Source organism: Homo sapiens, chromosome 1, assembly GCF_000001405.40.
Source record: "Homo sapiens chromosome 1, GRCh38.p14 Primary Assembly".
Taxonomy (NCBI): domain Eukaryota; kingdom Metazoa; phylum Chordata; class Mammalia; order Primates; family Hominidae; genus Homo; species Homo sapiens.
Window position 1 is genome coordinate 13,104,008 of NC_000001.11, and position 21,162 is coordinate 13,125,169.

Sequence of the window (21,162 nt, forward strand, 5' to 3'; positions counted from 1 at the left end):
AGTCGAGATCATGCCATTGCACTTCAGCTTGTGCAAAAAGAGTGAAACTCCACCTTAAAAAGAAAAAAAAAAGAAAAAAAGAAAGCAATATAGTGATATATAATGGCCATTCCAGGAATGCCAGCCAATCACAGGAAAATCTAAGTGTAATTCAGCATACTGACAAACTAAAGGGGGAAAAGCAAGGTTCCTACAAAATGCAGAAAAGAATTGCAGAAAAATCAAATTAAATTTATCATAACATAACTGAACAGCTTAATGAGTTGACATTCTAGCATCCCATTCCCTGTGACATCCCCAGTGGATGGCACACAGTAGATGCCCACTAACGTTTACTGTGAAAAAGAACAAAACTATGTGTTATGGTCTGCAGAGAAAGCCCACCATCGTTTCCTACCTGAGCAGGTGCTCCAGGTGCTCTTTGATATTACTGACCTTTCTTATATAATGCATCTGGGGGTAGTACAGGCACAGGAATGGCCAATCCAAGTCAGGAATGAACTGCCATTGGCCGCTCACGTATAATTCAGGCTCATAACCGAAGGCTAAAAAGTTTGCGAAGATTGCTCATCTGGCTCAGGTAAGGGGCAAACTTTCCCGTTTTATTGAGAGAGCACTTTTTCCAGACTTCCAACTCCTGGATACTGTCTGGGTATATCCTTTCCAATAGATTTCTGAAACTTGAAGTGGGCATTGAGTAATTCTGCACCTTACTACAACACAGGTGCACTAGGCCTCTTCTGTAGTGGATCCACCTTCAGAGGTAGCTCAGGCATTCATCCAGTGTACTTTCCTTCAGGCAGAGGTCTATGAACACCTTCAAGGGCTGGCACTCTCCCATCCTTGGACAGTCCTCCACTGTCTGCCTCTTACTCATGGCCTCTGGGGAGCAGGGGAGGACCCTGACTCCAGACCATATGGTCCAGAAATTCTCATCAACATCCCTCAAATCCAGCACTTGAAGTTTCCACCTCCTGTGAGTAACATAAGGGAAAAGCTCAGAATGTAGGCGAGGACCGACCCTTGACCTGAACTTTCACTCCACATCCAGGACATGAGTCAGCTGCTCCTGTCCCAGTGCTCCTCCTTCTGTCTTTTCTCCATCCTGTTCCCCCTTGGATTCTGCATGGTACCCACTTCTAGTACCTTTACCTTCCACTGGGAGGAAGCAGGTTCCTGTTTCCTCAGTGGACTCTGTATGGTGAGCAGTCCTTTTCCAGAGGATCTGGGCAATGGCCAAGGCCTCTCATGGGTACCATCAGAAGCCTCTGAGCCACCCTAGCTCCCACACACTGCCACTCCTCCTGAGCCAGCTGTCCCTTCCCTGGATGCCTGGACCCTTCCCACCAGGCCACCTGAGTCACCTCAACTGGGGCAAACCTTCTGGGACACTAGTGTATCAAGTCCCTTCAGCACAGCTTGCAAGGTCTCCAGATGAGTTGTCTTCATCAGGGATCCCAGAGGGAGGTGAAGGGAGGACCAGGCCTGCACCATCAGCTTCAGGGCCTCACAACATCTCATGCTGAAGGCCTCCATGAACGTCAGAGGGGAGACCTCCCTGGGCAGCTAGTCCAGGGTGAAGATAGTCAAGAACTGCTTCCTCATCAGGCTCTGCCCTGCCAGCTCCAGGAGTCTGGATGGGGTCTGGAGGCTCATTCTGACAAATCTACAAGGAAAAACTCTACAGCACAATCCAGCAAAAAGGCAAGTTCCTCCGACCAATCCCCTGCAACCCCCAATTCTCCCAGGGCCCAAGTCATTTCTCTAGCATGTGTGAAAGAGCCCTCAGTTTACTCCAGTTCCTTTCTGCAATAAGTGGCCACAGAGACATAGTTCTACCCTTCTGGTACCATGAAGAATGTGTCCCAACTTCTAAAGAGCAGGCAAGATCCCTCGTAGTCCATGAATTATTAGCCACTGATCCACTAAACTCATAGCACTGGCAAATGTTACCGAGGATCTCTGAAGCTCAGATCTCGTACCCAGCTAATCTTTTATTTTTTGACTTTTTGTAAAGACAGTGGGTTTCACTATGTTGTCCAGGCTGGTCTTGAACTCCTAGACTCAAACAATCCACCCACTTTGGCCTCCCAAAGTGCTGGGATTGCAGGCATGAGCCTCTGCCTGGTCTCATTATTGAAAATTTCAGCAAGAAGCTTTGAAAGCTATGTGACAGTGTTATGCATCATTGGCAAGACACAGATGTTTCCAATACACACCTCTCACACATATTCAAAATGAACCACTTTGGCTGTGTGCAGTGACTCACACCTGTAATCCCAGCCCTCTGGGAGGCAGAGGCAGGTGGATTATCTGAGGTCAGGAGTTTGAGACCAGCCTGGCCAACATGGTAAAACCCTACCTCTACCAAAATTAGAAAAATTAGCCAGGTGCGGTGGTCTGCGCCTATAGTCCAAGCTACTAGGGAGGCTGAGGCAGGAGGATCACTTGAACCCAGGAGGCAGAGGTTGCAGTGAGCTGACAATACACCACTGCACTCCAGCCTGTGAAATAGGCTAGATTCAAAAAAAAAAAAAAAAAAAAGAAAAGAAAAGAGAGAGAGAGAGAGAGAGAACTACATTTGATTCGACTTCTTAAACTCTACCCAGTTAATCCTGATTGGATTTTTGGCTTTCTTCCAGATTAACTGATTGAATTAGATATTCATCCATGAAAGTGAAAGATTTAGGGATAGGGTGAAAGTCCAGGACTCATTCACTGATTCCCTCCACAAACATGGAGGTTTACTAATATGTGTCCTTCATAGTCCTGAGTGTGAGATAGGGAAGTGTTGAATCTCTTCCTGATATTAGACAGAAAGAAAGAAAACTTGAAAGTATCTTTGTTGAGGGATCCTTGGCCACATCAAATTTATCAAAATATTTCAGAGTTAAAACAGTTTTCAAAGACGGAGTTGACAGTCCCCAATAACACACAATAGAAATCTTCATGTATCCAGTGATCACCTGGGTGGTATAATCTAATTTTTTTTGGTGTGGGTGAAGCTGAGTCTCACTTTGTCGCCCAGGCTGGAGTGCAGCGGCTCCATCTCAGCTCACTGTAACTTCCGCCTCTGAGATTCAAGCAATTCTCATGCTTCAGCCTTCCATGTAGCTGGGATTACAGGCATGCACCCTCACACCCATGTCTCCATTCGGGAGGAAGAATTACAGTGAGGATGTGATTGGTTTAAAATTAAGGTCAAAGATTCTCTTTGGTTAAGGTTTTTTGTTTGTTTGTTTTCGTTTTTGTTTTTAGCAGGGTCTTACTCTGTTGCCCAGGCTGGAGTACAGCAGTGGTGTGAGCATGGCTCACTGCAGCCTCAATCTTCTGGGCTCAAGTGATTCTCCCATGTCAGCAAACCAAATAGCTGGGAATACAGATGCATGCTACCATGCCTGGCAAATTAAAAGATATATATATTTTGTAGAGGCTGACCACCATTGGCTCACGGCCGTCATTCCAGCACTTTTGGGGGCCTAGGCAGGAGGATCACTTGATGTCAGGAGTTTGAGACCAACCTGGCCAGCATGGTGAAACCCCACCACTACTAAAAATACAAAAATTAAGCAGACATGGTGGCAGAGGGATGTAATACCAGCTACTCAGGAAGCTGAGACATGAAAATTGTTTGAGCCTGGGAGGAAGAGGTTGCAGTGAGTTGAGCTCTTGCCACTGCACTCCAGCCTTGGCAACAGGGTGAGACTCCATCCCTGCTTCAAAAAAAGAATGTTTTGTAGAGCTGCATTTTTGCCATGTTGCCCAGGTTGGTCTCAAACCCCTGGGCTCAAATGATCCTCCCGCTTTGGCCTCCCAAGGTGTTGAGGTTATGGGCATGAGTCATTGCTCCCATCAAGAATTTTGAAATGACATAAACCAAAGCACAATCCAATTTTTTGAAATAAAGACAAAACTGCATATAGAGGAAAAAATTCAAATCTTCAAATTGTTCATATATATATATATAAAAGACAGATATAGCTCGGTGCCATCATAGGCTGCATTGCCCCCGTCCCAGACCGGCTGACTATAGGTCAGATGGGAGTGTCCTTCCAGAAATGAGTGACTTACTAGATCTGGACTGAGTTTGCAGAGTGCTTAGACCTCAGGAAGAACCAAGCAGGAACTCCAGACTTGAAGACTTTGGGTCTCTCCTGTGGGCCTTCAGAAACTTTTATCGATCTTTCTAATCACAACTCCCACCCACACCCCTCCATCTATCCAGTGCTTGCTTCCAATCAAAAAGTGCTATCTGATTGCATTTCTGAAGCTCCACCCAGTTAATCTTGATTGGGTTTTTGGCTGTCCCCAGATTACTGGATTGAATCAGATATCCATTCATATCAGCTATCCATATTAAGTTCATGAATCAAGAAATTGACAGTGTTAGGAATAGGGTGGAAATCAAGAATTCACTCATTAAAGGCCAGGTGAGGTGGCTCACACCTGTAATCCCTGCACTTTGAGAGTCCAAGTTGGCTGGATCACCTGAGGTCAGGCGATCAAGACCTGCAAGGCCAACATGATGAAACCCCATTTCTACAAAAACACAAAAATTAGCCTGGCATGATGGCAGGTGCCTGTAATCCAGCTACTCAGGAGGCTGAGGTGGGAGAATCGCTTGAATCCAGGGGGCAATGGTTGCAGTGAGCCAAGATTGCACCATTGCACACCGTTCTGGGTGACAGAGGTAGACTTTGTCACAAAAAAAAAAAAAAAAAAAAAAAAAAAGAATTCATTCATTCATGAACTCCGCAAACACTGATGGAATTTTACTGATATATGACCTATATAGTCCTGAGTTTGAGGCAGGGAAGGGTTTGATCTGTTCTGGATAGTAGACAGAAAAATAAAACCTGAAAGTAGTGTTGGGAGATCTTTGGCCACATCAAAATTATAAAATTGTTTTATAGTTAAAACAGCTTTATAGAAACAAAGAAGTCATCCCTACAAAATCAGAAAAAAAACTCCATGTATCGAATCGTCTTGTGGGTTTTATATCACCTAAGGTAGCAATTTATTTGCTCATGCTGGTGGAAGAGAGGTGCCACTGAGGGCTTGAGTGGTCTCAGGGCTTAGGTTAAGGCTTGTCTGGAAGAAATTGAAACCGTATTTCTAAACTTTATAAATTTAATCGGTGAAAAAGAGAGGGGGAGGAACAAAAACAAACCAAGCTTGAAACGCATTCAGCATTCACCAGGAGGTCAGCTTGCCCTCTGACCTGCTTCCTCATGGTTGCTGGCAGCCTACTGTCCCAAAATCGTGTAGAACTTAGACTACAATTCCCCTTAACTACGCTGCAGACAACAATTTAAGCATTGTGAAACATTAAGTTTTTCATTTGAGATATTCTTTCAGGTTCTGCATGTCAGTGAAACTACTGATGCCAGCTGATCTGAAGGGCCCTGCAAGGCATCAACTCACCAAAGAATGCCGTTCTGACATCGTGATAACTTCATACCTCTTATTGCCATCAAACTACACCAACTTTCCAGCCCCTTGCTATCCAGGATCCACTGGAAACCCTCAGTACTCCTTGGGGAGATGAATTTGAGGATCTCCTCCCAGCTTCTCATTCAGCCACCCTGTGATCATTAAACTTTCTGCTGCAAATCCTGCTGTCTCAGAATATTGGTAAGCTACTGTGCAGCCGGCATAGGAACCTGATGGTCCTGTAACAAATTTATGTCAAAATTACAAAGGGAAGTGAAGGTGGAGGCTGGTCAGGGTTGAGCTGGGTGTTTTAATGGAATCCTGGGAGTGAACAAAGACTTGGTAAATGTGTTGGGGGTTATTGAGAGGGTGGAGGAGGAATCTTTCCAACACTGCACTGAGGCTCCCTTGGTTTTCATACTTGTGACCAAGAATGAGTCTTTCAAAAAAATTTATGTAATTCTCCTCATTTTTCCTTTCAAAACCTTTGTCTTCCTTTACCTCCCCGAATAATCTCACATCTATTCCCATGGCTTTGCTCATTTCATAATAAAAATCCTTTTTTTTTTCCTGTGGAGTCTCTTTCTCTGTTAAGTAGACCATATATTTTGTTGCCACACAAGATGAGTAACCTGGTTTTATGGAGAGAAAGGGACAAAAGAATCCCAATCCTCATCAGCTAGGGGCGATATGAAGGTCAGGATTATTCTTTGTCATATCTGCACCTGCATATTGCCAGTGAAAACCTGCAGGTCACATTAGGTAGACTTCCAAATTGATCATCTGTGGAAGGTCTTATGATTGGCTTACATCCTGTCCCTGAGTAAAGAATCTGATCTTGACTTCATGAGTGCCTGAGACTCTTCAAGTACTGATGAAGGCTTCACCCAGTGACAGTGAGAAGGACACTGATTTGATTCTGATCGTGAAGTTTTGCTGGTTGTCTTGCAAGGAAAATATTTTTGCCTGTCATGTTGTCATCTAAAGTCAATGATTGTAACCTCTGTATTGTCCCTTCCAATGGAAAAAACAAAAACAAAAAAGCTCAACTCTATTAGAGCCTTGCCAGGATAAAACAAAAGAAAATTAAAAAAAAAAAACAACTGATAGGAGGAGTCCCATTCCCTTCTTTCAACCTTTCTTATAAAAGCATTCCAACTTGTAACAGACTTTGGAAAACGCTCATTTTGTCAGTGTGTGTCTTCCAGGTCGATCCTGACATTTAGCTTCCAATGAAGCTTTATTTAATTATTTCTGCCTCAACTGCCTTAACGTCTATTGACAACAGGTTGCACGGTAATGGTTGGAATTGGGGTGGGAGGAAAAAATATTTCTGTGTGTTTTATAAAGTAATCCTTGCATGCCATCTCCATTGAAGAAAGAATAGTTTCCTCTCCAAATATATCCTGAGTATTGATGCATCCAATAAATAAAACTATTATTTCATACAGTAGAGCTATAGATGCATTCTATTTGCCTCTAGAGTTTCCAAAGAACCAATGCCTAGTTTCAGTAAGTTCTCTGATTATATGGCAGAGGGTAACATGGTCATGTTCTGACTCTATGTCTATGTCGATATCTATAGCATTCCCATCTACATAATGCATGTCAAACCAAAGAGTTTGATTCTAGTGGGAGTCTGGAACACTATCTAGGTTAGACCCAGTTACACTAATGTTTTCTAGGCATAGAGATAAATTACCAGTAATGAAATCAATAATAGTCATAGGCCACCCATTTGCACCTATAGCTTCTTCTCAGTACCAAGTCATTTAATTATCAATATTAACCAACCTTCCAAAGGAAGGATAACAAACCTTATCATGAAGTTAGCATCCTCAATTGCTACCCAACTGTGTATGAGAGCAGGTTCTACTATTATCTGTGATCCTTCCCTTTCATCTAAATGACCCCATAGCCAGCAATTGCTTTGGTTAGTGAGAGTGGCTACATTTTGAACAGGAGACCTTAGAAAGTGTTTGGTTTGAGTGATGAAAGTACCTAACAATATAAAATACAGGTTTGAGAATTTTGTGTTAATACAAAACAAAACCAAGTCTCAGTCAATGGAAGAAGATCAAATGGAGTCTTGTTCCATTGTCTTGGAAAAGCTGTCTACCATGTGATGATGTCTGCTTCTAGGGAAGGCTTTTCCTCGGATATCTTTACGTTTCAGTCATCTGGTACAGTCCCATCCATTGCTGCTCATGCGCAGATTTCCCTTGGTGTCATTTCCAAAGGATGCAATCTCCAAATGCTAGGGCAGGAAGATCTAAGCATCACTGAAAGCCTTCACCTACTGGAAATAGTCTTTGAAATTCTGCATCAAGGTCTTGCAGTATTGATTCATATTGTTACTGAATGATGGGCTCACTCTCCTGAGTGCATAGAACCCAATACTATGACAACATCTTTGAGAAAAGAAAAAAAGATTCGGCCAGGTGTGGTGGCTGACGCCTATAATCCCAGCACTTTAGGAGACCGAGGCAGGCAGATCCCGATGTCAGGGGTTCAAGACCAACCTGGCCAAAATGGTGAAACCCCGCTTCTGCCAAAAATACAAAAATTAGCTGGGTGTGGTTGTGTGTGCCTGTAATCCCAGCTACTTAGGTGGCTGAGGCAGGAAAACTCCTTGAACCTGGGAGGCAGAGGTTGCAGTGAGCCAAGGTAGCACCACTGTACTCCAGCCTGGGCAACAGAGACTCTGTCTCAAAAATAAATAATAATAATCCAGTTTTCTTTGTCAGTTTAGCTAATTTTAGTTTAAATATACCATTTGTTCACTCAACCTTTATAGAATACCAAGGATAATGAAGTTAATGCTAGTGTCATTGGGTCTGTAAAATTTTATGTGTGATAACCTGCCCAGTAAACTGAATTCTCATACCATTAGAGATTTCTCCAGAATTGCCCAGAAAGGAAACACATTTTATAATCACTTATTTGCTATGACTGCATCATAAGCCTTTCTAAAAAGGTAAGCTACAACTCATCCTGAAAATGGAAACACAATCACAAGAATTTTAGCCTTTTTACACGGCTCACTGTCATCATTGGTCCATGACAACCCCCTTTCTTGCAGCTATATATGTGTATGTCTACCTATTCATATCTATATCTATATCTATCTGTTTCCTTTTATTACCATTATTCACTTCCACTCACCTTTCCATATATTGCCACTCTACTCTTTGACCTAGCCTTGAATTTGCATGTGACCTTATATAATATAAGTATATGGAAAGTATATAGCATATATACTTGCATTTTTATGTGTATTTATTTTAATCCACATATATGCTATAGCGTAGGGTGCTAGAGAAGAGGGCCTCACAATTAATTGTCCAGTCCCAGACACTTTGGAGAGTGAATGGACATGCTGTTATAATTATTAGTAGTATTTTTTGGAGATGGAGTCTTGCTCTGTGGCCAGGCTGGTGTGCAAAGGTGCTATCTTGGCTCAATGCAACCTCCACCTCTCGGGTTCAACTGTTTCTCCTGCCTCAGCCTCCCAAGTACCTGAGATTACAGATGCCTACCACCACGCCCGGCTATTTTTTGTATTTTTAGTAGAAATGGAGTTTCTCCATGTTGGCCATGCTGGTCTCAAACTCCTGATCTCAGGCGTTCCACCTGCCTTGGCTTCCCAAAGTGCTGGAATTACAGGTGTGAGCCACCGTGCCCGGCCTCTCACGTGCCTTTTTAAGTTGATGGGAAAATGACACCCAGGATAATTTATGGCCATAGTGAGAATTATTGGAAATCTTTAAGACTGTTTTTCTTACAAAACCACAATGGTAGGATTAAACAGTCTGAATGGGATGCTAGCATGTAGAGCCTTCTAAACTCTCTTTCTCTCCTTTTTTGGGGAATTTGGGATCTGCCTACTGATTACAATTAATTGCACTTTTTTAACTGTTTGATTAAGATTTTTTTTTTTCAACAGTCTGACTCTGCTGCCCAGGCTGGAGTACAGCACTGGTGTGAGCATGGCTCACTGCAGCATCAATCTTCTGGATTCAAGGGATTCTCCCACCTCAGCCACCCAAGTAGCTGGGACTACAGATGCATGCCACCATGTGTAGGGAAAAGAAAGAGAGATCAGACTGTTACTGTGTCTATGTAGAAAAGGAAGACATAAGAAACTCCATTTTGACCTGTGCCCTGAAGAATTGCTTTGCCCTGAGATGCTATTAATCTGTAACTTTGCCCCAACCTTGAGCTCACAAAAACATGTGTTGTATGGAATCAAGGTTTAAGGGATCTAGGGCAGTGCAGGATGTGCCTTGTTAACAATATGTATACAGGCAATATGCTTGGTAAAATCATCGCCATTCTCCATTCTCGATAAACCAGGGGCACAATGCACTGTGGAAAGCCACAGGGACCTCTGCCCTGGAAAGCCGGGTATTGTCTAAGGTTTCTCCCCATGTGATAGCCTGAGATATGGCCTTGTGGGATGGGAGAGACCTGACCATCCCCCAGCCCAACTCCCGTGAAGGGTCTGTGCTGAGGAGTATTAGTAAAAGAGGAAGGCCTCTTGCAGTTGAGATAAGAGGAAGGCCTCTGTCTCCTGCCTGTCCCTGGGAATGGAATGTCTCGGTATAAAACCCAATTGTAGATTTGTTCTATTCTGAGATAGGAGACAAACTGTCCTGTGTTGGGAGGTGAGACATGTTGGCAGCAATGCTGCTCTGTTATTCTTTTCTCCACTGAGATGTTTGGGTGGAGAGAAGCATACATCTGGCCTACATGCACATCCAGGCAGAGTACCTTCCCTTGAACTCATTTGTGACACAGATTCCTTTGCTCACGTTTTATGCTGAGCGCCGGTCCCCTGGGCCCCCTGTTCTTTCTCCATACTTTGTCTCTGTGTCTTATTTCTTTTCACAGTCTGTCATCCCACCTGATGCGATATACCCACAGGTATGGAGAGGCTGCTCCCCTTCAACCATGCCCATCTAATTTTTTAAAAAAGAGGCAGGGCATTGGTGGCTCACTGGTGTAATCCCAGCCCTTTGGGAGGCCAAAGCAGGTGGATCACTTGAGGTTAGGAGTTTGAGACCAGCCTGGCCAACATGGTGAACCGCCGTCTCTATCCAAAATATAAAAATGAGCTGCTCATGGGGGTGGGTGGCTATAATCCCAGCTACTCAGGAGGCTGAGGCATGAGAATCGCTTGAGCCTGGGAGGCAGAGGTTGGAGTGAGCTGAGATTGTGCCACTCCATTCCAGCCTGGGTAACGGAGTGAGACTCCATCCCGCCCCTCAAAACAAATGTTTTGTAGAGATAGGGTTTTGCCATGTTGCTCAGGTTGGTCTCGAACCCCTGCGCTCAAACGATCCTCCCACCTTGGCCTCCCAAAGTGTTGTAGTTACAGGCATGAGTCATTGCTCCCACCAAGAATTTTTTTTCTTTAAATTGCTGGTTTAATAAAGAGTTGTTTATTTTCAGGGAAAAGGTCCCAAACATCAAGCTGTTCACAAAAATAACCCACGGTATCAACTTTAGAAAACACATTTGAAGACTATAACACCAATTATGTTTCTGAGGATGCATTTGACATGCCAACTCTCATTCACAAAAATACATTGTTAGATTTTTGTTGAACTGCCCCACACAGCACACTAATATGGGGTGTAACACACATACTTGTAACTCCAAGCTGCTTTCAGGAGCTACTCAACTCAATGAGATTGCCTTTGCAGTTAGGGAAGCAACTACTGAACTTATGTATGAAAGAAAAGAACTGTATTCCCTGCATAACAAGAGATTATTTTGGAGACAGTTGATAAAAACCATACATCCTTTTTACTGTTAAGTCATAAAGAGGTGTCAAAATTAAAAGCAAAAATTACAGGGTAAGACTTAGGAAAACTACTAGGGGTGTCATGGGAAGTGAAAATGGGACTAGGCGCAGGGCAATATGAATTAATGAATGTGGGAAGGACAAGGATGGGGAGAACAGTAAGCATGTGCTGAAGATACTAAGGGAGAGGATCTGGTGAAAAATTTGTTGTTAGACAAGCTCCTAGGTAAAGAAACAATGGGATAAGATTTCTCAACCCCACTATGTGCTTAAGAGTCATCCTGGCCATTGGTGCTGTCTCTGTTATCCTCTCCTTCCTCAGCATCTTTTTCATTATTCTTGATCAAATGAAGCTGGTTGTCCCCCTGATCTTCATTATCATCATCATCCAGTGGGTCCCCCTCCTCAGCAGAGTCTTCTGCACCCCCCTCAGACTCCATCTTTACATGAGTCTCATCTTTCTTCATGGAGCTACTGCTCTGCTCCTCTTCTGACTTAGCATTTTTCACCTCTACCTCTTGTTTGCTCTGTTCCTTTTCAATTTTTTCCAGGTTTTCCAGGAGAGAATCCACTTTCTGTTTTATCTGGGTCAACTCCTGCTTAATGGCCTGAAGGTCATCTCCTTTCAGCTTTCCAGACTTGGAAGATCCCCGCTTTCCACTCTTAGAATTGAAGCCACTTTTGCCCCTTCGTGAGGTGTTTCCTGATATGCGCTGGCGTTTCGAGGGCACTACAGCCAGAGCAATGGGAGGAGGAGGAGGTACACGTGCTGGGAAACTGTACATCCCATCATAATAATCCCGTTGAAAGCCATAGTCCAAGTCAAAAGAGGAGCCGTACATCTCCGCTGCGGATCGTTTCACACCTGCGTTTCCTCGGTTCACTTTTGGCTCTGCAGCCAGGTTAATAACTGCAACCTGGCTAGCAATCATTCTGCCATCCTCTCCTGCTACAGCAGCCCGGGCATTTTTCTCCTTATCATATTGAACGAAGGCAAAGCCCTTATGAACAGAGCAGCCCGCAATTTTGCCATACTTGGAAAAGATCGCCTCCACATCAGATTTCTTGACAACAAGAGTGTTGAGATTCCCAATGAACACACGGGAGTTCACGGAGTGAGGATCCATCTTGTTGGTAACGTTGCTGGCCATTGTGTTGGATGATAAGGTTTCTCAAAAAGCCAAAAACAGGAGGCGGGAGGGAGAAGAGATTCGATTCTAAGTCTCCTACTGCCGGGTTCTACGGGGAGAAACTGACTGCGGCTCGAGGCCAGAAATGCAGCCAAAACAGCTCAGTCTTCGTCTCTTCACAAAATGGCTGCCAACAAGAATTCTGAAATGATGTAAAGAAAAGCACAACAACATTTTTGAAATCACGACAAAATTGCATTTAGAAAAAAAAATCAAAGCTTCAAAGTGTTCATATGAAAAAAAGAAAAAAAGACATGATATAGTTCTATGCCATCGTAGGCTGCACTGTCACCGTTCTAGACCGGCTGACTGTAGGTCACATGGGAGTGTCCTTACAGAAATTAGTGACTTACCAGATCTGGTTGTAGTTTAGAAGGTGCTCAGACCTCAGGAAGAGCCAAGCAGGAACTCCAGGCTTGAAGACTTTGAGTTTGTCCTGTGGGTCTTTAGAAGCTTTTATTGACCTTTCTAATCACAACTCCCACCCACGCCCCTCCACGTATCCGCTGCTAGCTTCCAATCAAAAAGCGATATCTGATTGCATTTCTGAAGCTCCACTCAGTTAATCCTGATTGGGTTTTTGACTGTCCGAAGACTAATGGATTGAACGAGATATCCATTCATATCACATATGCATAATCATTTTATGAATTAAGAAATTGACAGAGTTAGGGATAGAGTGGAAATCAAGAATTCATTCACTCAAGGCCAGGTGAGGTGGCTCACACTTGTAATCCCAGCACTTTGGGAGGCCAAGGTAGGTGGATCACCTGAGGTCAGGAGTTCAAGACCAGCCTGGCCCACATGGTGAAACCCTGTCTCTACAAAAATAGAAAAGTTAGCCAGGCACGATGGTGGCTGCCTGTAGTCCAGTTACTCATGCGGCTGAGGTGGGAGAATCCCTTGAACCCTGGAGGCTGAGTTTGCAGTGAGCCAAGATTACACCATTGCCCTCCTGACTGGGCGACAGAGGGAGATTTTGTCAAAAAAAATGCATTCATTCATGAAATCCACAAACACTGATGGAATTTTACTGCTATTTCGCCTTCAAGTCCTGATGTGAGGCAGGGAAGGGGTTGATCTGTTCCAGACATTAGACAGAAAAATAAAACCTGAAAGTAGTGTTGTGGGGAGATCTTTGGCCACATCAAAATTATAAAATTTATAAAAATATTTCTAGTTAAAATAGCTGTATAAACACAGAGGAGTCGTCCCTACAAAATAAGAATAAAGATCTCCATGTATGGAATGGTCTTGTGGGTTTTATATCACCTAAGGTAGCAGTTTCTTCACTCGTGCTGGTGGAAGAGAGGTGCCACTGAGGGCTTGAGTGGTCTCAGGGCTTAGGTTAAGTCTTCTCTGGAAGAAATTGAAATGATACCTGTAAACTTTATAAGTTTAATCAGTGAAGAAGGGAGGGGGAGAAACAAAAATAAACCAAGCTTGCAGCGCATTCAGCATTCACCATGAGGTCAGCTTGCTCTCTGACCTTCTTCCTCATGGTTGCTGGCAGCTTACTGTCCCCAAATCAAGTAGACCTTAGCTTACAGTTCCCCTTAACTACCCTGCAGACAACAATTTAAGCCTTGTAAAACATTAACTTTCTCATTTGAGATATTCTTTCAGGTTCTGCATGTCAGTGAAACTACTGATGCCAGCTGATCTGAAGGGCTCTGCAAGGCACCAACTCACCAAAGAATGCAGTTTTGACATCCTGATGACTTCATCCCTCTTACCTCTACACCAACTTTCCAGCCCCTTGCTATCCAGGATCCACTGGAAACCCTCAGTACTACTTGGGGAGATGAATTTGAGGATATCCTCCTAGCTTCTCATTTAGCCACCCTGTGATCATTAAACTGTCTGCTGCAAACACTGCTGTCTCAGAATATTGGTCAGCTACTGTGCAGCAGGCATAGGAACCTGATGGTCCTGTAATAAAATCATGTCAAAATTACAAAGAGAAGTGAGGGTAGAGGATGGGCATGGTTGAGCTGGGTGTTTTAATGGGATCCTGGGAGTTAACCAAGACTTGGTAAACATGTTGGGGGTTACTGAGGGGGTGGAGGTGGAATCTATCCAACATTTCACTGATGCCCCTTTACTTTTGATTCTTAGGACCAAGGTTGAGTCTTTCAAAACAATTTGTATAATCCTCCTTATTTTTCCTTTCAAAACCTTTGTCTTCCTTTTTCTCCCAAAATAATCTCACATCTATTCCCATTGCTTTCCTCATTTCAGGATAAACACATCTTTTTTTTTTTTTTTTCTGACAGTCTCCTTCTCTGTTAAGTTTACCATATATTTTGTTGCCACTGAAGATGAGTAACTTGGTTTTATGGACAGGAAGGGTGAAAAGGATCCCATTCCTCAACAGCTGGAGGTGATATGAAGGTCATTGTTATTCTTTGTCATATCTGCACCTGCATATTGCCAGTGAAAACCTGAAGGTCTCATTGGGGCAAGCTTAAAAATTAGCCACCTATAGAAGGTCTTAGCATTGGCTTACATCCTGTCCCTGAGTAAAGAATCTGATCATGAGTTCATGAGTACCTCAAACTCTACAAGTACTGATGAAGTCTTCACCCGCTGACAGTGAGAAGGACACTGATTTTATTCTGATCATGAAGTCATGCTGGTTGTCTTGCAAGGAAAATGTTTTAGCCTGTTATGTTGTCATCTAAAGCTAACGATTGTAACCTCTGTCTTGTACCTTCCAATGGGAAAAACAAAAACAAAAACTCAACTCTATTTGAGCCTTGCCAGGTCAATAAAACAAAAGAAAATTAAAAAAAATTGATAGGAGGAGTCCCATTCCCTTCTTTTAACCTCTCTTACAAAAGCATTCCAACTTGTAACAGACTTTGGAAAACACTCACTTTGTCAGTGTGTGTCTTCCAGGTCGATTCTCACATTTAGCTTCCAATAAAGCTTTATTTAATTATTTCTACCTCAATGGCCTTAACTTCTATTGATACCAGGTTGCATGGTAATGGTTTGAATTGGGGTGGGAAGAAAAAGTATTTCTATGAGTTTTATAAAGTAATCCTTGCATGCCATCTGCATTGAAGAATGAATAGGTTCCTCTCCAAATATGTCCTGAGTATTGATGCATCCAATAAATAAAACTATTATGTATTTCACATAGTAGAGCTATAGACACATTCTATTTGCCTCTAGAGTTTCCAATGAACCAATGTCTAGTTTCAGTAAGTTCTCTGATTAAATGGCAGAGGGTAACATGGTCATGTTCTGATTCTATGTCTATGTCGATACCTATAGCACTCCAGTCTTCATAAGGTGTGTCAAACCAAAGAGTTTGATTCTAGTGGGAATCTGCGACACTACCTAGATTAGATCCAGTTTCACTAATGTTTTTTATGCATAGAGATAAAATGCCAGTAATGTAATCAATAATAGTCATAGGCCACCCATTTGCACCTATAGCTTCTTCTCAGTGCCAAGTCATGTAATTATAAATGTTAACCAACCTTCCAAAGGAAGGATAACAAACCTTATCATGAAGTTGGCATCCTCAATTGCTACCCAACTGTTTATGAGAGCATGTTCTACTATTTAGTTGTGATCCTTCCCTTTCATGTAAATGACTCCATAGCCAGCAATTGCTTTGGTTAGTGAGAGTGGCTACATTTTGAACAGAAGACCTTAGAAAGTGTTTGGTTTGAGTGGAGAAAGTACCTAACAACATAAAATATAGGTTTGAGCATTTTGTTTTAATACAAAACAAAACCAAGTCTCAGTCAATGGAAGAAGATCAAATGGAGTCTTGTTCCATTGTCTTGGAAAACTGTCTACCATGTGATGATGTCTGCTTCTAAGGAAGGCTTTTCCTTGGTTATCCTTAGTTTTAAGTCATCTGGTACAGTCCCATCCAGTGCTGCTCATGGGCAGATTTCCCTTGGTATCATTTCTAAAGGATGCAATCTCCAAATTCTAGGGCATGAAGGTCTAAGCATCACTGAAAGCCTCCCTCACCTACTGGAAAGACTTTGAAATACTGCATCAAGGTCTTGCAGTATTGAATCATGTTGTTACTGAACGATGGGCTCACTCTCCTAAGTGCATAGAAGTCCTTTGAGAAAAGAAAAAAAGATTAGGCTGGGCAAGGTGGCTCAAGCCTATAATTCCAGCACTTCAGGAGGCTGAGGCAGGGAGATCACAAGGTCAGGGGTTCAAGACCAACCTGGTCAACATGGTGAAACCCCGTTTCTGCTAAAAATACAAAAATCAGCTGGGTGTGGTGGTGTGTGCCTGTAATCCTGGCTACTCAGGAGTCTGAGGCAGGAGAATCTCTTGAACCCGGGAGGCAGATGTTGCAGTGAGCTGACATAGCACCACTGTACTCCCGCTTGGGCATCAGAGACTCTGTGTCAAAAAAAAGAAAAAGTAATCCAATCTTTTTTGTTAATTTAGCTAATTTAATTTTAAGATACCATTTATTCACTCAACCTTTGTAGAATACCAATGATAATGAAGTTAATGGTAGTGCCATTAGATCTGTAAAATCTTATCTGTGTGATCGCCTGCCCAGTAAACTGAGTTCTCCTACCATTGGAAATTTCTCCAGAGGTTCGCCAGAAAGGAAACACATTTTATAATCATTTATTCACTATGACTATGGCATCAGCCTTTCTAAAAAGGTAAGCTACAACCAATCCTGAAAATGGACACACAATCACAAAAATTGTAGCCTTTTTACATGGCTCACTGTCATCACTGGTCCATGACATTCCCTTTTCTTGCCGCTATATGTGTGTATGTCTACCTATCCATAACTATATCTACACCTTTTTTTATTACCATGATTCACTTCCACTCCCCTTTCCATAGATAGCCACTCTACTCTTTGACCTAGCCTTGAATTTGCATGTGACCTCTTAGAATATAAATATATAGAAAGTATATAGAATATATACTTGAATTTTGTATGTGTATTTATATTAATCCACATATATGCTATAGTGTATGGTGCTACAGAAGAGGGCCTGACAAGTAATTGTCCAGTCCTAGATACTTTGGAGAGTGAATGGACATGTTCTTATAATTTTTTTTTTTTTTGGAGATGGAGTCTCACTCTCTCGCCAGGCTGGAGAGCAATAGTTCAATCTTGGCTCACTGCAAACTCTGCCTCCTGGATTCAAGTGATTCTCCTGCCTCAACCTACCGAATACCTGGGATTACAGGTGTCCACCACCATGCCCAGCTATTTTTTGTATTTTTAGTAGAGAGATAGTTTCGCCATGTTGGTGAGGCTGGTCTCGAACTCCTGACCTCAGGTGATCCGCCCACCTTGGCCTCCCAAAGTGCTGGGATTACAGACGTGAGCCACCGTGCCTGGCCTTGTTATAATTAAGATTTTCAGAACAACAGTGGTGTATGAAGGCTTATAATCACCTTTACCATAGGCCTTGGTCTCTTACCTAAGTTTGTAACTAATATATTTTTCAAATATAATAACAATAAAAATATCCTTGCTTGCCCTATGTCAAATCCAGCTCGAAGTACTTAAATAGATTAATTTATAGCACTCTGTGAAGTCAATATTGCTATTATCCCATTTTATATGTGAATGAGCTAAGGCACAGAGAGGTTAAGTAAGTTGAGTAAGACCACACAGCCATTGGCCACTGAGCCAGTTTTTTTTCTTTTTTCTGAGACAGCGTCTCATGCTGTCGCTCAGGCTGGAGTGCAGTGGCGCGATCTCAGCTCACTGCAAGCTCTGCCTCCCGGGTTCACTCCATTCTGCTGCCTCAGCCTCCCGAGTAGCTGGGGCTACAGGCACCTGCCACCATGCCCGGCTAATTTTTGTGTTTTTAGTAGAGACGGGGATTCACCGTGTTAGCCAGGATGGTACTGAGCCAGTTTTGAACCTAAATTAAGCAGTCTGGGTCTGCTGGATCTGGAGTCTTTACTATTAACCAAAATACCTACGTGCGTCCAAATCCTAAGGTGCTGAGGTTCTTACCTTGTTTCATATCTCAGTAGGAAGGGAGCTAATGTTTATCCATTACATCTGATGTTTAATGCAAGTTTTCAACATACAACATTTCAGTTTCCGAAATATGTTATGATAAATTTAATTTGATTTTTCTGCAATTCTTTTCTGCATTTTGTAGGAACCTTGCTTTTCCCCCTTTAGTTTGTCAGTATGCTGAATTACACTTAGATTTTCCTGTGATTGGCTGGCATTCCTGGAATGGCCATTATATATCACTATATTGCTTTCTTTTTTTCTTTTTTTTTTCTTTTTAAGGTGGAGTTTCACTCTTTTTGCACAAGCTGAAGTGCAATGGCATGATCTCGACTCACTGCAACTTCCACCTTCTTGGTTCAAGCAAATCTCCAGCCTCAGCCTCCTGAGTTGCTGGGATTACAGGCATGCGCCACCACACCTGGCTAATTTTGTATTTTTAGTAGGGATGGGGTTTCTCCATGTTGGTCAGGCTGGTCTCGAACTCCAGACCTGAGGTGATCCACCTGCCTCGGCCTCTCAAAGTGCTGGGATTGCAGGCATGAGCCACGGAGCCTGGCCTGTCTATCACTTTCTAATGCAGTGTTGCATTTAGTTAACTGATAATTTATTAAGTACTTTTTTCTGGCTGACCGTGGTGGCTCATGCCTGTAATCCCAGCACTTTGGGAGGCCGAGGCAAGTGGATCACCTGAGGTCAGGAGTTCTAGCCAACACAGAGAAATTCTGCCTCTTCTAAAACTACATAAATTAGCTGGATGTGGTGGCATGTGGCTCTAATCCCAGCTACTAGAGAGGCTGAGGCAGGAGAATTGCTCGAATCTGGGAGTAAGAGGTTGCAGTGAGGTGAGATTGTGCCACTGCACTCCAGCCTGCATGACAGAGTGAGTCTCTGTCTCAAAAAAAAAAAAAAAGAAAGAAAAAAGAAAAAAAACTTTTGCCAAATAAGTTTAAATTTACTTTCCTTCTAATATCCTTAGCCATTTTTAAAATATGGGTTACTGCTCTCTTATGAAATGAATTAGACAACTTTCCATATTTGCCTTTCTTTCTGGAACATCTTGTACAAAACAGAAAATACCGGCCAGGTGCAGTGGCTCATGCCTGCAATCCTAGCACTTTGGGAGACTAAGGCAGGCGGATCACTAGCTTCCAATCAAAAAGTGATATCTGATTGCATTTCTGAAGCTCCACCCAGTTAATCCTGATTGGGTTTTTGGCTCTCCCCAGATTAATGGATTGAATCAGATATCCATTCATATCAGATATCCATATTAATTGCATGAATCAGGAAATTGACAGTGTTAGGGATAGGGTAGAAGTCAAGAATTCACTCATTCAAGGCCGGGTGAGGCAGCTCACGCCTGTAATCCTTCCAGAAGGACTTCCCTGTACTGGTTTAGGCTTTGCATACCCTGTCTTTCATTTGGGTCCCACTGGGGGTCTGTTCCTGCTAGTTGGATCCTCACATACCCTCGGGGATTTTGTAATCAGCTGGAACATGTTCTTCCAGCCACTTAGTTGCCACTTGGAGCACTCTCCACCTTTCATCTGTGTTAAAGAGGTGCATGAGCACCTGGTGGCAATCAGCCCAGGTGGGGTTGTGGGTCTGGATAACAGTTTGGAGCAAATAAATTATAGCTTGAGGCTTTTCGGTATAGGATGGGGTATTGTTTTCCAATGGAGGAGATGGGCAGAGGTGAAGGGTTGGTACACAAAGGCACGTCTTTCCACCATAAGCCCATCCTCGTCTACTCCAGTATACTGTTGCTCTCTCAGGGACATTTGTATCCCAGTTCTAGGCCTCATACGGGCAGCCAAGGGAGGGTCTTGCATCCTGAGGTCTTGCACCCTTTCTTCTCTACTCTGGGCAGCCTAGGGGTATGTAGGCCTTGTGGAAGCTTGGGCGCAGTGGGCTCAGGAGTGGGAGGCCTTCCTTCTTGGTGAAAGGGGGGGGCACTGGCACAGTGTCTTGCCAGTGTTCCTTTGCTTAGTTTCTTTTTTTAACTGTTGTTTGTGATTTTCCATCTTCCTGAGACCAACCACTACTTGCTGGACCTTCTGAATTGGGAAAGAATGGAAAGTCTGTCAGCCAGTTTTTTCCAACATTTAGGTTGTTGAACTGCTTAGGGGATCCTCTGAGCCTCTCACCTGAGGGGTCTGCCAATCATTTGTTGTCTGAACATGGGCAGATTCCTCTTGCTAGCCAAATCTCAGGGTCACCAACATGCTTTAGATTATTTGTGAGGGAGAGCTGAGATCTTGGATGAATGATACCAGCCCCTGCTGTGCCTCGTGGATGCTCAGTCACCAGAGACACTCACGATCACCCTTGGTGCTGAGCTCAACCTCAGCCTCAGGCTCACAAAGTGAGGGCAGGCAAAGTAGAAGCCCCACTGAACACATTTCAGTTTAACTCAATTGCACACATAGCAGGGCATTGACAGTGAGGTCAGAAATGTGGAGAAAGAACATTTACAGAAACATTTCAAGATAGAGAACACCCTTCAAAGTACTCCAGTTTTGGAGGCCAGTGGCATCTCAGAGCTGTTTGGTTTTCATATAGAATGGGAGAGAAAGGCCTGGAGGACTTTCTGGAGGCAGGGGAGGTTCTTGCTACTTTGTGCCCTAAAACATCGGAAGAATCACTGTGTGATCCCTCTTAGGATGGGAGCCATCCGTGAACTTAGCAGATATTTCAACATGAAATAGAGCTTCCAGGTTTTGTGGGGGAAATGT

At 43.2% G+C, this 21,162-nt stretch overlaps 1 protein-coding gene and 1 pseudogene across 1 annotated transcript; both read right to left on the reverse strand.

Moving 5' to 3' along the window:
- PRAMEF35P (PRAME family member 35, pseudogene) lies at nt 368–1,682 on the reverse strand (annotated as a pseudogene).
- HNRNPCL2 (heterogeneous nuclear ribonucleoprotein C like 2) lies at nt 11,481–12,847 on the reverse strand. Its single transcript, NM_001136561.3, has 2 exons — nt 12,786–12,847; nt 11,481–12,574 (listed from the first exon to the last, which is right to left on the reverse strand). The coding sequence occupies exon 2, from the start codon at nt 12,391–12,393 to the stop codon at nt 11,512–11,514; it is 882 nt and encodes a 293-aa protein (NP_001130033.3). The 5' UTR covers nt 12,394–12,574; nt 12,786–12,847; the 3' UTR covers nt 11,481–11,511.
- Nucleotides 12,848–21,162: the final 8,315 nt, after the last annotated feature.

Excerpts from the sequence above, each read along its gene's own strand:
- HNRNPCL2 (NM_001136561.3), bottom strand. The coding sequence starts at position 12,393 with ATGGCCAGCAACGTTACCAACAAGATGGATCCTCACTCCGTGAACTCC.